Source organism: Homo sapiens, chromosome Y (genome assembly GCF_000001405.40).
Source record: "Homo sapiens chromosome Y, GRCh38.p14 Primary Assembly".
Classification (NCBI taxonomy): Eukaryota; Metazoa; Chordata; class Mammalia; order Primates; family Hominidae; genus Homo; species Homo sapiens.
In genome coordinates this window covers 19,454,255-19,469,525 of record NC_000024.10, presented here as the reverse complement: position 1 = coordinate 19,469,525, position 15,271 = coordinate 19,454,255, and the positions used below count along the sequence as shown (strand labels likewise).

General features: G+C 38.1%; 1 pseudogene across 2 annotated transcripts in view; it reads left to right on the top strand.

The window, feature by feature from the left end:
• BCORP1 (BCL6 corepressor pseudogene 1) overlaps nt 1–14,095 on the top strand; it is a 47,723-nt pseudogene extending 33,628 nt beyond the window's left edge. The window contains exons 5-11 of one of the 2 annotated variants that reach the window (NR_033732.1): nt 2,152–3,070; nt 4,299–4,420; nt 9,422–9,567; nt 10,160–10,237; nt 10,447–10,602; nt 12,409–12,469; nt 12,662–14,095. The product of NR_033732.1 is annotated as a BCL6 corepressor pseudogene 1, transcript variant 1 (transcript). The remainder of the gene's footprint in view (nt 1–2,151; nt 3,071–4,298; nt 4,421–9,421; nt 9,568–10,159; nt 10,238–10,446; nt 10,603–12,408; nt 12,470–12,661) is intronic. The other variant, NR_002923.2, reaches the window with a different exon arrangement.
• The last annotated feature ends 1,176 nt before the right edge of the window (nt 14,096–15,271 follow it).

The following is a 15,271-nucleotide window of genomic DNA, read 5'->3' as shown; positions in this document are numbered from 1 at the left end:
AATCAGCCAGGAGAAGGAAATAAAGGGTATTCAATTAGGAAAAGAGGAAGTCAAATTGTCCCTGTTTACAGATGACATGATTGTATATCTAGAAAACCCCATTGTCTCAGCCCACAATCTCCTTAAGCTGATAAGCAACTTCAGCAAAGTCTCAGAATACAAAATCAATGTGCAGAAATCATAAGCATTCTTATACACCAATAACAGAAAAACAGACAGCCAAATCATGAGTGAACTCCCATTCACAATTGCTTCAAAGAGAATAAAATACCTAGGAATCCAACTTACAAGGGATGTGAAGGATCTCTTCAAGGAGAACTACAAACCACTGCTCAATGAAATAAAAGAGGATACAAACAAGTGGAAGAACATTCCATGCTCTTGGATAGGAAGAATCAATATCATTAAAATGGCCATATTGCCTAAGGCAGTTTAGAGTTTCAATGCCATCCCCATCAAGCTACCAATGACTTTCTTCACAGAATTGGAAAAAACTACTTTAAAGTTCATATGGAACCAAAAAAGAACCCACATTGCCAAGTCAATCCTAAGCCAAAAGAACAAAGCTGGAGGCATCACACTACCTGACTTCAAACTATACTACAAGGCTACAGTAACCAAAACAGCATGGTACAGGTACCAAAATGGAGATATAGACCAATGGAACAGAACAGAGACCTCAGAAATAATGCCACACATCTACAACCATCTGATCTTTGAAAAACATGACAAAAACAAGCAATGGGGAAAGGATTCCCTATTTAATAAACGGTGCTGGGAAAACTGGCCAGCCATATGTAGAAAGCTGAAACTGGACCGCTTCCTTACACCTTATACAAAAATTAATTCAAGATGGAATAAAGACTTAAATGTTAGACCTAAAATCATAAAAACCCTAGAAGAAAACCTAGGCAATACCATTCAGGACATAGGCATGGGCAAGGACTTCATGCCTAAAACACCAGAAACAATGGCAACAAAAGCCAAAACTGACAAATGGGATCTAATTAAATTAAAGAGCTTCTCCACAGCAAAAAAAAACTATCATCAGAGTCAACAGGCAACCTACAGAATGGGAGAAAATTTTTGCAATCTACTCATCTAACAAAGGGTTAATATCCACAATCTACAAAGAACTCCAACAAATTTACAAGAAAAAAGCAAACAACCCCATCAACAAGTGGGCGAAGGATGTTAACAGACAGTTCTCAAAAGAAGATGTTTATGAAGCCAAAAGACACATGAAAAAATGCTAATCATCACTGGCCATCAGAGAAATGCAAATCAAAACCACAATGAGATACCATCTCACACCAGTTAGAATGGCAATCATTAAAAAGTCAGGAAACAACAGGTGCTGGAGAGGATGTGGAGAAATAGGTACACTTTTACACTGTTGTTGGGACTGTAAACTAGTTCAACAATTGTGGAAGTCAGTGTGGCGATTTCTCAGGGATCTAGAACTACAAATACCATTTGACCGAGCCATCCCATTACTGTATATATACCCAAAGGAGTATAAAACATGCTGCTATAAAGACACATGCACACATATGCTTATTGCAGCACTATTCACAATAGCAAAGACTTGGAACCAACCCAAATGCCCAACAATGATAGACTGGATTAAGAAAATGTGGCACATATACACCATGGAATACTATGCAGCCATAAAAAATGATGAGTTCATGTCCTTTGTAGGGGCATGGATGAAGCTGGAAACCATCATTCTCAGCAAACTATCACAAGGACAAAAAACCAAACACCGCATGTTCCCACTCATAGGTGGGAATTGAACAATGAGAACACATGGACACAGGAAGGGGAACATCACACACCGGGGACTGTTGTGGCGTGGGGGGAGTGGGGAGGGATAGCATTAGGAGATATACATAATGTAAATGACGAGTTAATGGGTGCAGCACACCAACATGGCACATGTATACATATGTAACAATCCTCACGTTGTGCACATGTACCCTAAAACTTAAAGTATAATAATAATAAAAAAAAACAGTGGGATTTTCTTTCTGCATGGGCTACAACTATGTAATGACTCCTTTTTTTTGCCCTTTTCCCCATGTCTCTTTCCTGTTAGCTATTCTGCCACCATGCTGCACCATCTATATTTAGCCTTGTCTCTGTTCTCAGGCCCTCCACCGAAGAATAAGGTTTTATCCAACAATGCAAGCAGCCAAAAGCCGACTCACTCAAGCTGCATACCATTGTTGAGGCTGCCTGATAAGCAGCAGAAAGTTAATGAGAGCATTAAGACAGACATGCTGTGCACAGACAAGGAAGAGGAGTGCCCTGCTGCCTCCCTGCTGCAGAAATACACCAATAACAGTGAGAAGCCATCTGGGAAGAGACAATGCAAAACCAAGCACTTGATATCTCAGGACCTGAGGCAGGGGTTCCTGCTAACAGGGAAGTGCTACGTTGAGAATGCTGATGGCAAGATACCTCTTGGCACTTGTTTTCTCCTTGGGCTTATATAGAGGCTATTTCCCCTCACCCCAACATTCCCCACCTACCTGCTTTTCTCAAGGATGTAAAGCCTTTCTTTTACTGGACTCCTAACTTCCCTGTCTTAGAGGGGAAGTCTTCCTTGATGGTGATAAAATTGGAAACTATTAAAATTTAAGTTCATACCCCAGTCTGTAACACTTTTCCTTTGATATTCCACCTCCCAGGAAGGAAAGGAAACTGCCTTCCCCATGCAGGTTTGTCTTACAGGAAGGAGGAGGGGAAGCAGTGGATGTGGAAAGGATGTAGTCTTAATCTTAACTGTGTATACTAATTCGTTTTGTCTTAGTCAACTGTCCCAAGATTCAGAAAGCAACTTGAACCCAGTTCCAACTATGATCTGACTTCATCCAAGCAGGAGATGAAGCCCTTCAACTGCTTGCAAGAGTTGCTACCAGCTTCCCAGTCCATGAAGCTGCCACACTCATGTTCCCCTCAGGAAACCAACCAATCTCGCCCAGTGCAGCTGAGAGCAAGGAGAATTATTGTCGATAGGCATGCTGGTGAGACTCTCCTGCAGCAGGCAGCATGGCTTGGCTATGAGGTGAGTGTCCTGGTGAGCACTCCTAGAGCAGCTGCTGCTTCCAGCTGGAAAGCAGGGCTTGCTAGCTGGGATGGGATAGTGGGAGGTACTTGAAGAGCAGAGCTCAGCCCCTTCACATCAGGGGACTTGGAGAGCAGAGCTTAGCCCCTTCACATCAGGGGACTAGCATGTCTGTGTTAGCCCCAGTCTCCCTGCTATTTGGTGGCTTTTGCAGTCACAGTGTGCAAACGGGCAAGCAGTCAGGCAGGTTGCTCCAGCTTCCTCCAGTCTGGTTTACTTATTTCTGCTATAAAACTTGAAAAAATTCAGGGCTTGGTGACTTGGGGAAATTTAATGGGCCCTTTTGGATTCTGATTAGCAAGAGGAAGAGATGTTATTAGCTCTATATGGTGTTGCTTGTGCTATGGTGGCCCTGTGTGGAGAGCAGGCAGGAAGTGGCAATGCAGGTTGGGCACAGGTGTTCAAATGTGAGGGTGTGGAGCAGACCTGAGTGGTCTCTTTCTGAGAGAGGGTTAAGGTGGCCCTGGGGCTGAGTACTGGAGGAAGAATTCAGACTTAGGGTTTCTCCCCAAGTCACTGCTCCTTCATCACCCTCTCACTCCTGCCCCCTACACCCATACTCCTCCCAAGATGCATGATGACAGTGTTGACTTATGTCAACTGAGCACTGGGCTGTGTGCTCTTTCTAAGCTCACATGATCTGAACTAACTCATTTTACTCTGTCATCATCTTTGCCAGCTATTATCACTGTTTTCATATGAGGAAACTAACTCCCAGAAGTGTTAAATGGCTTGGATAGGTAATAACCTAGGAACAGTTTCAGTTTTGGTTGTTTTTATAGAACTGATGGATGTGACGCCTGTACCAATCAACAGCTTCAACAAATTCCACATCTATACATCTTTAGGCCCCAAAGCCTTTGATGGCACAGGTGATTTTGAGATTGTTTATGTAAGGATGGCTGTCATCGTTGCTTTAGATTTCTGGTATTTGGATAATTAAAGTTTCTAGACTGCAACTTGGATGGTTAGAAAAATAGTAACTTTTTCAGATATTAAGTGAATTTGCAACATGTAATTTAAATAGATCACAAGTTTTTAGTTAAAGAACTCTTTTTGACACATAATAATTGTACATATTTCTGGGGTATATATTCTATCGTGTATGTATATCACATATGTGATGATTTCTTTCTTTTCTGTTTTTTTTTCTTTTTTTTTGTTTTAGGCAAGGTCTTGCTCTGTCACCTAGGCTAGAGTGCAGTGGTGCGATCTCAGCTTATTACAACCTCTGCCTCCTGGGCTCAAGTGATCCTTCTACTTCAGATTCCTGAGTAGCTGGGACCACAGGCATGTACCACCACACCCAGCTAATTTTTGTTTTTTTGTAGATACACGATTTCGCCATGTTGCCCAGGCTGCTCTCGAACTCATGACTTCAAGTGATCTGCCTGTCTCAGCCTCTCAAAGTGCTGGGATTACAAGCACAAGCCACCGTTCCCTGCCTATATGTGATATTTTGATACATCCATACAATTTGTAATGATCCAGTCAGGCTATTTAGGATATGCGTTACTTCAAACATTTACTATTTTTGTTTTGGGAATATTTCATACCTTATCTTCTAGATATTTTGAAATATACCATACTCTTGTTAATTGTAGTCTCCCTTTTCTGGTATTAAACATTAGATCATATTCTTTTGATATGCCTGTATATTTGTACCGTAAATTAACCAACCCCTGTTTATCTTGCCCACACCTACACCCACTTCCAAGCTTCTGGAGACTATCATCTTACACTCTACCTTCATGACATCAACTTTTCCTACATATGAGTGAGAATAGGTGATATTTCTTTTGCTATGCTTGACTTATTTTACTTCACATAATGACCTTCAATTCCATCCAGGTTGTTGCAAGTGACAGCATTTCATTCATTTATATGGCTTAAAATATTCTGTTGTGTATGTATACCACATTTTCTTTGTCCTTTCATTCACTGTCGGCATTTAGGCCAATTCCATGTTTACCTATCGGGATTTACTTTTTTATTTTTCTTTGATAGAGACTGTCTAGTCAGATTGCTGGATTATATTGTGGTTCTAATTTTAGTTTTTAAAGAGACCTCCATATTGTTTTCCATATTGGCTGTACTAATTTACATCCCAAGAGTTTGTAAATCAACCTTTTCTCCAAATCCTTGGCAGAATTTATTTTTTTGTCTTGTTTAGTAATATCCATTCTGACTAGTGTAATATGGTAACTCACAGTGGTTTTGAATTGTATTTCTGTGATGATTAGTGATGTTGAACATTTTTACATATATATGATGGCCATTTATATGTCTTCATTTGAGAACTGCCTATTCAGATCCTTTGCCTACCTTTTAATGTCATTTTTTTTTTGCTGTTGAGCTTAGTTCCTTATATATTAGTCCCTTATTGGATGAACAGTTTGCAAATATATTGTGCCATTTTATAGATTGTCTCTTCACTCCTGTTGATTGTTTGTTTTGCAGAGTTCAATTTCCCTATTTTTGTTTGTGTTATCCATGCTTTTGAAGTCTTAGACATAAAATCTTGGCCTAGACCAATGTCCTGAAGCATTTCCTGCTTTTTTCTAGTACATTTATATTTTGGGTCTTAAATTTAAGTCTGTTATTTGAGTTGATATTGTTATCTGTTGAGGTTTTGTGATCTAGTTTCATTCTTCATATGGACATCCAGTTTCCCCAGCCCCATTTAGTAAACTGGGTGTCCTTTCCCCAGTGTGTGTTATTGGTGTCTTGTTAGAAATTAGTGGTCTGGCAGGAAAGAAGCAGGCAAAGAAATTTTTGTTTTATTTGCCATTAATATAAATACAGCAAATATTATCTTTTTTCTTTTGAGGTAGGATCTCACTCTGTGTCCCAGGCTGGAGTGGAGTGGCATGATCTCAGCTCATTGCAGCCTCCAGCCTCCTGGGCTCAAGTGATCCTCTCACCTCTGTCTCCTGAATAGTGGGGACTACAGGTGTGTGCCACCATTCCTGACTGTTTTTTGTATTTTTGTAGAGATGGGGATCTCTGCATATTCCCCACACTGGTCTTGAATTCCTGGCCACAAGTGATCCACCTGCCTCAGCCTCCCAAAGTGCTGGCATTACAGGCATGACCCACTGTGCTAAGCCCAACAAATGGTTGTCTTAAACACAACTTTCTAATAACTTGTTCAAAAAGCCAAATAAAAACTTTCAAAACTCTAATAAAAAAAACTAATAAATTTATAAACTACTAGTCAAAGTCAAAACAAATTAATTACATAAAATTCAATAACAAAAACATTATAAACTTTACTTAAAATTTTCTTAAATTGTTTTTCTTTTTTTTATTTTTTATTATTATACTTTAAGTTTTAGGGTACATGTGCACATTGTGCAGGTTAGTTACATACGTATACATGTGCCATGCTGGTGCGCTGCACCCACTAACTCATCATCTAGCATTAGGTATATCTCCCAATGCTATCCCTCCCCCGTCCCCCCACTCCACAGCAGTCCCCAGAGTGTGATGTTCCCCTTCCTGTGCCCATGTGTTCTCATTGTTCAATTGCACAGAGCTGTCCAGGCCAGAGTACAGTGGCACGATCTCAGCTCACTGCATCTTCTGCCTCCTGGGTTCAAGTGATTCTCCTGCCTCAGCCTCCCAAGTAGTGGGACTACAGGCACACACCACCATGCCTAGCTAATTTTTGTATTTTTAGGACAGACGAGGTTTCACCATGTTGGTCCGGCTGGTCTCGAACCCCTGACCTCATGATCTGCCCACCTCGGCTTCCCAAAGTGCTGGGATTATGGGAGTGAGCCACCATACCCAGCCCGAATATTATTTCTTTTTAAAAGGAAGGAATTTCTGACATATGCTGTAACATGGATGAACCTTGAGGACGTTCATTTATGCTAAGTGAAATATGCATGTTGTAAAATGACAAATACTTTATTATTCCACTCGTGACATGCTAAGAGAAGTCAAAATCATAGACACTGACAGTAGAATGGTGGGTGCCTGGGTTTGTAGGAAAGGTTAATGGGGTTACTGTTTAATGGGTACAGAGCCTGTTGAAAGTCCTTTAGATGAATGATGGTGATGGTTGCACAATAATGTGAAAGAGTTAATGACCATGAACTGAACACTTAAAAATGGTTAAGATGATAAATGTACATTACATATATTTTTTCCACAAATAAAAAAATTAGTGTTTCAAATTTAACAAGAGTTAGGATATATCCTTCGTAAATGTTCAGCCTCATTTTAGTTACTCTTCTTCAACACTGCTACTCTACCATGTTATTACTATAATCTCTACATTGTTGGAATGATAATACTGAAAAAAGAACTACACATGGGGCTGGATGCGGTGGCTCATGCCTGTAATCCCAGCAGCTTGAGAGGCCAAAGCAGCAGGATCACTTGAGCCTAGGAGTTTGAGACCAGCTTGGATGACATGGTGAAACCCTGTTTCTACAAAAAAAAAAAAAAAAAAAAAAAAACAACTGGGAATGGTGGCACATGCCTGTAATCTCAGCTACTCAGCTACTCAGGAGACATGTGAGAGGATCACCCTAGCCCAGTGAGGTTGAGGCTGCAGTGAACCATGATTGTGCCATTGCACTCCAGCCTGGCAGACAGAGTTGAGACACAGTCTCAAAATAAACAAACAAACAAAACTCTTGTGGTTACCCTTGTAGGATTGATTCTGATTTTTAAGTTATGGTGTATATATGTATATGTGTATGTCTGTGATGTGTGTGTGTGTGTGTGTGTGTGTGTGTGTGTGTGTGTTTTCCTGCACCAGATATGGTTTATTTCAGTGTTAGGGTCACGTTAGTTTTCTTGTTGTGGTTTTATAGTAGTGTTGTTTTCAAAAAAAACAACCATTTTTTCTCTAATTTTCTTTTTAATTTTTTTTCTTTCCAAAAGTCAGTGACCAAGTCATTCTTGTACTCAAAAGTAAGAATACAAATAGCATTTGGTTGGGATAGGGTAGTGATATTATTATTTTGATCACTTTTTCCTTGAATTGGCACTTTTCTTCATCGCCCAACTGAAGAAGTTTTCTGCTTCATGAGGTCTTGTGAAGCTTCACAATCTTTCTTCATACCTCATGTATGGTCTCCCAGTGAGACCAAGCTCAAACTCCTCATTGCCTTCAGCCTTCACTTTCAGGGCTTTTCTTGTCCATTGGATAGCATTTGGAGCCTTATTTCTTCCTATTCCTGTATATGTATGTTTATATCTTTCCCTCAGTTGGTAAGTGGTGAGAGCATGGAATGTTGGACTGTTCTTTAATGTTCCCAGGGGCAAAAGCCCCTGAAAATGTCAATAATTAGTGACAAATAATTAGTGATACTGCCTTATAAGACTCTGGACTCTTTATTGTGACTATATTCAAAATGTATATTTGAGTTTTAAGTCCTGAGAGTACAAATATCCCACAGCTGGTTCAGAAGGACCTGTTATCACCATCCACATCCCCAGATCTGGCCTTCATCCTGCCTTTGACCTTAGTTTATTGGTGAGAAACCAAGATTTGTCAGTTGTGGAATCCTCTGGTGGTGTAAATGTGGTGGCTGCTTGAGGGTTGGGTATTAGGGTTTGCTAATAGTTAAAAAAAAAAAGAAAAAAAAACCTAAAACGTATTTTGTTTTTTCACAGATTCCAAACAGCATTCCATCAGGAGGGCACTGTGGGCAGTGTTCCACCTTCCAATAGACATGGGTGGGAGAACTTTGTACTTTTTCAGATCTCATCCTGATCCTGACAACTCTGGTTCTGAGCCACAAGTTTGATCACAGATCTGTGAAAGGTGCCAGGGCAGGCTTTTAGGAGAGTCTAAACTCACCATTTATCTTTGCACCCAGGTTCTTTATATAAACAAACAGTCATTTTTTAAATTGTTTAACAGTTGTTTGTTGTATTAGGTTTCATAATGGTAAACTTTTTTTTGAGTTATCTTTTTACATCCTGTCCATACTTCCTTCAAAACTTTTTAAATACTTATTCTGTCTTCAGTTTTTCAGGCCTCAGATTAAGATAGATTTTTCATTTGAGAGTTAGTGCTGAAATAGTCCCTTCATGAGTCCTGTTAAAAGGATTAAGTGTATAATAACAATAATTTGTCATTTGATCATGGGTCAGTAACTGTGTCTCAATTTCACTATCTGTACATGGCAGTTACATTCCTCATGAGTTGAATATTGTGTCTACGAGGCTTACATGGTACACATGTATCCAATTTTGCCTATTGTTAAAGAAAAGTCAAGAAATGAGCAAGTGTGCATGAGTTTAATCCCACCGCACATCTCTTACTAGGCCTCTCCATGGTGCAGTTGAAAATGATTGTTTGGAAATTGTCCGCCTCCTCCTTTCCTATGGCGCTGGCCCCACTTTGGCCACCTACTCAGGCAGAACCATTATGAAAATGACCCACAGCAAAGTTATGGAAATGTTTCTAACAGGTGGGTCACTTTACGGAACAGGAATAACAAAGTTCAAGATATGTTCTTTATTCAAATATTAGAGGGAGACCAGGTTATTGAGATTTGAGTTTTACTAGGTACAAATTAAAAAGCTTGAGACTTTAAAACAGCAGCAATGTGGCTTTTCTGTATTGTGGAATATAGTAGTCTAGTGAAGCTAATTATTTTGGTGATTAGCCGTTGATTCTATATTTCCTTTGATCTATTTTTACCCTAATGCTGTAAAAGATTTCCCCAAATTATTTGGATTTCCTACCAAGCATTTTTAAACAAATAATGACTCACATTTTTACATCTTGATTCTGGATAATGGAAACCTCAAACTTCCCACAGAAGAGGTTATTTAGAATAGTCTATGTAGCTCAGTGAGTGAAGAACTAATCATGCAAGCCCCAGGCATTACTAGACTACATTTCTATACACCAGTATGGAAATGGATTACTTCCATACACTAGTATGGAATGTAACTGGTTTTTTTGTGTGTGTTGATTTAGTATCCTGCAACTTTGCTGGAATTACTAATTTTAACATTTTTTAAAAAGTTGATCTTTTTTTTCCCCTCTCTCTCCAGATTACTTAAATGACCTACAGGGTTGCAGTGACAGTAAGCTGAATAGCTCTTGGGAGTTCTACGGCAGCTCTGTCTGTGGTGAGCAATATTATTGTTTTTAGTTGAGTGGAAAATAGGAAGAGGACATTTTTCTTTGGTGTGGTTGACGGGGGATAGGTTGTGCATGCTATAAAACAGACTCTGTTGGAAAAGAATCTATTTTTATATTTTTATTTAGAGTTCTTCATTGGATGACAGCTGAAATCCTGCTATTGCTAACATCTTTGTCTGTTTCTTTTCTCCATTAGAACCAGATAATGGAGGGGAATCCAATGTTTTGGCAGACCCCCCAGGACCAGAGGACCAGGATGATGACAATGAGGCTTGCAGTGATGTGTTTGAATTTAAATTTTCAGATACCCCCTCTTACCTTGTTAAAACATTCAAGTTTCATCTTTGCAGGGGTGAGCATGGCTGCTATGTCACTGAAAATTAGCTGAGCTGATTTGTGGGTAGTAGCAGGACTTAAAGCTCTTTTTAAGTAGATGAGGGTGAGTGGGTGCTAAATGCCCAAGAGTTTTACATGATGTAGCAAATAGGTTTTTTTTAAAGATTTATTATACTCAGCTAATTAATTGGTTGTATAGTATAGTATAGTATGGTATAGTATAGTATAGTATGGTATGGTATAGTATAGTATAGTATGGTATAGTATGGTATAGTATAGTATAGTATAGTATAGTATAGTATAGTATAGTATAGTATAGTATAGTATAGTACAGTACAGTATAGTATAAATTATCCTCATCAGAACACCACCAATGTAAGTAAGGCCCCAGAACCCAAAGCACAGAAGTTTCTTTTACTAAATTCTTTGGGAAGGAGTCCTAGGAATCCTTCAACAGATCATTACAAGGGCTTCTTGGGAATATAATGTGTACTGTACAAAGCCGTTAATCTCCCTTCTCATGTAGAATTAGGAAAATCATCAGTGTCACTCGAGATCTTTGTGTATGGTCATATTTAGTAAGATACAGTCTTACACTATTTGTGAGCCACTGTGCCCTGGTGACCAATATCTTATCAAGAGAACTTTGTTAACATTTTAACATTGGTGCTTAGTAAACAATAGTATCCTCAGGCTCTGGAGTTATGTGTATTCCATTGTAAACAGTGACAGTTTTATTTCACTTTATTTTTTGTTAGTATGCCATGGATTCTTACATTTGAGGGTTCATGTGATATTTTGATACATGCATACAATATGTAAGCATCAAATGAGGGCACTTGGGATACCCATCACTTCAAACATGTATTATGTCTTTGTATTAGAAATATTAAAACCTTCTCTTCTAGAAACAGACTATACATTATAGTTAACTATAATTTTCCTACTGTGCTATCAAATACTGGATGTTATTCCTTCTCTCTAACTGTATTTTAATAGCCATTTAATCATCTCCTCTTAATTCCCTCTCCCACCTACACTGCCTAGCTTCTAGTACTCACCCTTCTACTCCATACCTCTATGAGGTTAACATTTTTTATTTCCTACCTATAGGTAGAACTTTCTGTGCCTGGTTTATTTCATTTAATAGAATGACCTCCAAGTCCACCTGTGTTGCAAATATCAAGATTCAAGTCATTTTGTGGTGGACTAGCACTCCATTATGTAAATATATTCCATTTTAAAATCCACTTGTCTGTTGATGGACACTTAGGTTGATTCCATATCATGGCTATTGTGAATAGTGCTGCAGTAGACATGAGAGTGCAGATACCTTACTGATATACTGATTTGATTTCTTTGGGATATATACCTAGCCATGAGATTGCGGAATCACATGTTAATTTTATTTTTCATTTTTGAGGAATTCACCAACAGCATAGACACATTCTCTTTTCTCTGCATTCTCACCAACATATTTTTGTCTTTTGATAATAGGCATCCTAACTAAGAGAAGATAATATTGTGGTTTTGATTAGAAGTTTATTATAAATAGAAATAGTAAAGTTGTGTTGCAGAGTGTGTGAAAGGAATGGACTTGGGGGAGAGGGAAGATCAAAGAGGTGTTTATAGTCATCCTTTTGGGTTGGGGTACAGACTCACTTATCTCAGTAAGCCTAGTGAGACATATTAAGAGTCATTACCCAAATTATGGTGAGAGCTGAGTCAACAGGAGTTTAATTTTTTCATCAGCAATGAGAGCAGTGGAGGAACTGTTATAATAAATCTCACTAAGGTGTTTCCCTTGCTTTATATAATTCAGTTTGTTCTTCTACAAATGTCTGATAACCAGATGAATCCAGAGTTACCCTCATCAGAAGTAGGTACTTACCCTTACCTTGAAAGAAGAATGTTGGTCTATGAGTGGGCATGGTGAGAAATGGCAGGGGTGTTGAAGTGAAAGTAAGTGACTCCTGTTATGCCTATAAGGTAGCTTTTTCAATATGATAATTAATGGTTGGGGGAAATTTTATTTTTGCCAGAAATTGGGACTACCTTTTCTTTTTATTTTGCAGACCACAAAACTGGTTATTGCTTTCAGATGTACTTAAGAAAGTGAAAATGTCATCCTGCATATTTCGCTGGAGTTTTCCACATCTGAAAATTGTCCCAATTGCAGAGGCAGAGTTTTACAGACAGGTTTCAGCAAGTATCTTGTTCTCTTCCTCCAAAGACTTGGAAGCCTTCAATCTGGAAAGCAACAAACTACTAGATTTACTAGAATGTACAAATGAACTCCAGATTCTCCTTGGCTCCTCTCTGGAATGCTTAAATCCCAGGGATGTGGCCTTGGAGAAGGACCACTGATGAGAAGTCAAATCCCACTGTATACTGTGTGTTCTAGTGTTCATCCTTGTTTATATTTATCAAAGTACAACTACTTCTGTGGAGGAGGGACATTATTACATATGAAAATATTTCAGCTTTATATAAGATAAACCCTCTAGCTAGAAGATTTAGAAAGATGTCTTTTTATTTTAAACTTTTGTTATGAAATTGCTGAAATGTTTCTTTAATTTTCAATGTATAGAAACTGCTTTGAATAAATTTGTTTTCATTTGGAACGTCTTTTAAAAGGAAAATATAATGAGGAAAAAGAGCCTCACCTACCTACCTATTGACTTTTTTCCACACAAAGCTCTGATGACAGAGATCATTGACATTTATAAATAATGTCATCAAAATTGAGTGTTTGGGAGAATAAATTTGGTAAAAGCATTTGATATTGTAACTTCTTTGTTTTGTTTGCTGCGTATCTTCTTATGCCAGGTATATGCTATTGGGTATATTTCAACTTAAAATTACACTGAAACACAACTAATTGTATGAGATTTATAACCTAACTTAAAGGTTGTAAATTAGTTTCTATGAACCAATCTCAAATATTTTATGATCTTCTAATGAAGAAACTTTAATTTATTTTCCTCCTCCTCCTTCTTCTTCTCCTTTTTTCTTTTCTTTCTTTCTTTCTTTCTTTTTTTTTTTTTTTGAGGCAATGTCTCACTGTTATCCAGGCTGGAGTGCAGAGGCACAGTCAGAACTCACTGCAGCCTCTACATCCCTGGGCTCAGTGGTCCTCCCACAATCAGCCTCTGGAGAAGCTAGGACTATAGGCCTGTGTAAACATGCTTCGTTAATTTTTTTTTTTTTTTTTTTTTTTGTAGAGACAGTGTTTAGCCATGTTGCCCAGGCTGTTCTAAACCACCTGGGCTCAAGTGATCCGCCTGCCTCTACCTCCCAAAGTGCTGGGATTACAGACATGAGCAGCCATGCCCAGCCTGTTTTTCTGTTCACTATAAAATATTGAAAATTAAGGACAGTTGAGTTTGCTTGAAAATGTAAATATTTTAATTCTGTGCTTATAATTTCTTTCAACTTTGTTAGATTTATGCTTCTGTAACACTTTTACAGAAATTTTCTGAAGATGCAATAAAACTGTTGAGGAAAGGAAAATGTTGAACTGTCTGTGTCCTATGTGATCCTAAAACATGTTGTTACATTTTTTTTAAGTTGACAAATTTCCTTGGTGGCTTAATTTCTGTTATTTAAAACTTTTTATTTCAATAGCTTTTGGGGTTACAAGTGTTTTTTTTGTTACATGGGTGAATAATATAGTGATGAATTCTGAGATTTTAGTGCATCTGTTACTTGAGTAGTATATATAGTACCTAATGTGTGGTTCTTTTATCACTGGCCCCATCTCACTCTTTACCTTCTGCATCTCAAGTTCACTGTATCACTCTGCATGACTTCTGTACTCATAGCTTAACTCCCACATGTAAGTGACAACATACAGTTTTTGGTTTTTCACTCCTGTGTTATTTCACTTAGAATAATGGCCTTCAGCTCCAAGTTGCTGTGAAAGACATTATTTTGTTCCTTTTTATGGCTGAATAGTATTCCATTGTGTATACACACCATATTTTCTTTATCCAGGCATCAGTCAATGGGTAGCATATATGTTGATCTCTGATCTTTGCAAGTGTGAATTATGCTGCTATAAACATACATGTGCAAATGTTGTTTTTATATAACAACTTCTTTTTTCTTTGGGTAGACAGATAATAGTGTGATTGCTAGATCAAATGTTAGTTCTACTTCTGTTTCCTTAAGGAATCTCCACACTGCTTTCCATAGAGGTTGTACTAATTTACATTCCCTTTGGCAAAGTATAAGTGTTGCCTTTTCCCCCATCCATGCCAATACCTATTGTTTGTTGGCTTTTCAATAATGGTCATTCTTGCAGGAGTAAGGTGGTATCTCATTGTGGTTTTAATTTGTGTTTCTCTGATGATTAGGTATGTTGAACATTTTTTTGTACATTAATATTTGTTGGCCATTTATGTTTCTTCTTTTGAGAAATGTCTGTTCATGTACTTTGCCCACATTTTGATGGGAGTATTTGCTTTTTTCTTACTGATTTGTTTGAGTTCCTTGTTGATTTTGGATACTCTTACTGTTAGATAGGTAGCCTGCAAACATTTTCTCCTATGGGATGTTTGCTGATTATTTCTTTTACCATGCAGAAGATTTATAGTTTAATTAGAACCATTTTGTTTACTTCATTCTTTTTGCGTTTGGTTTTGGGATCTTAGTCATACATTCTTTGTCTAGGTTAATGTCTA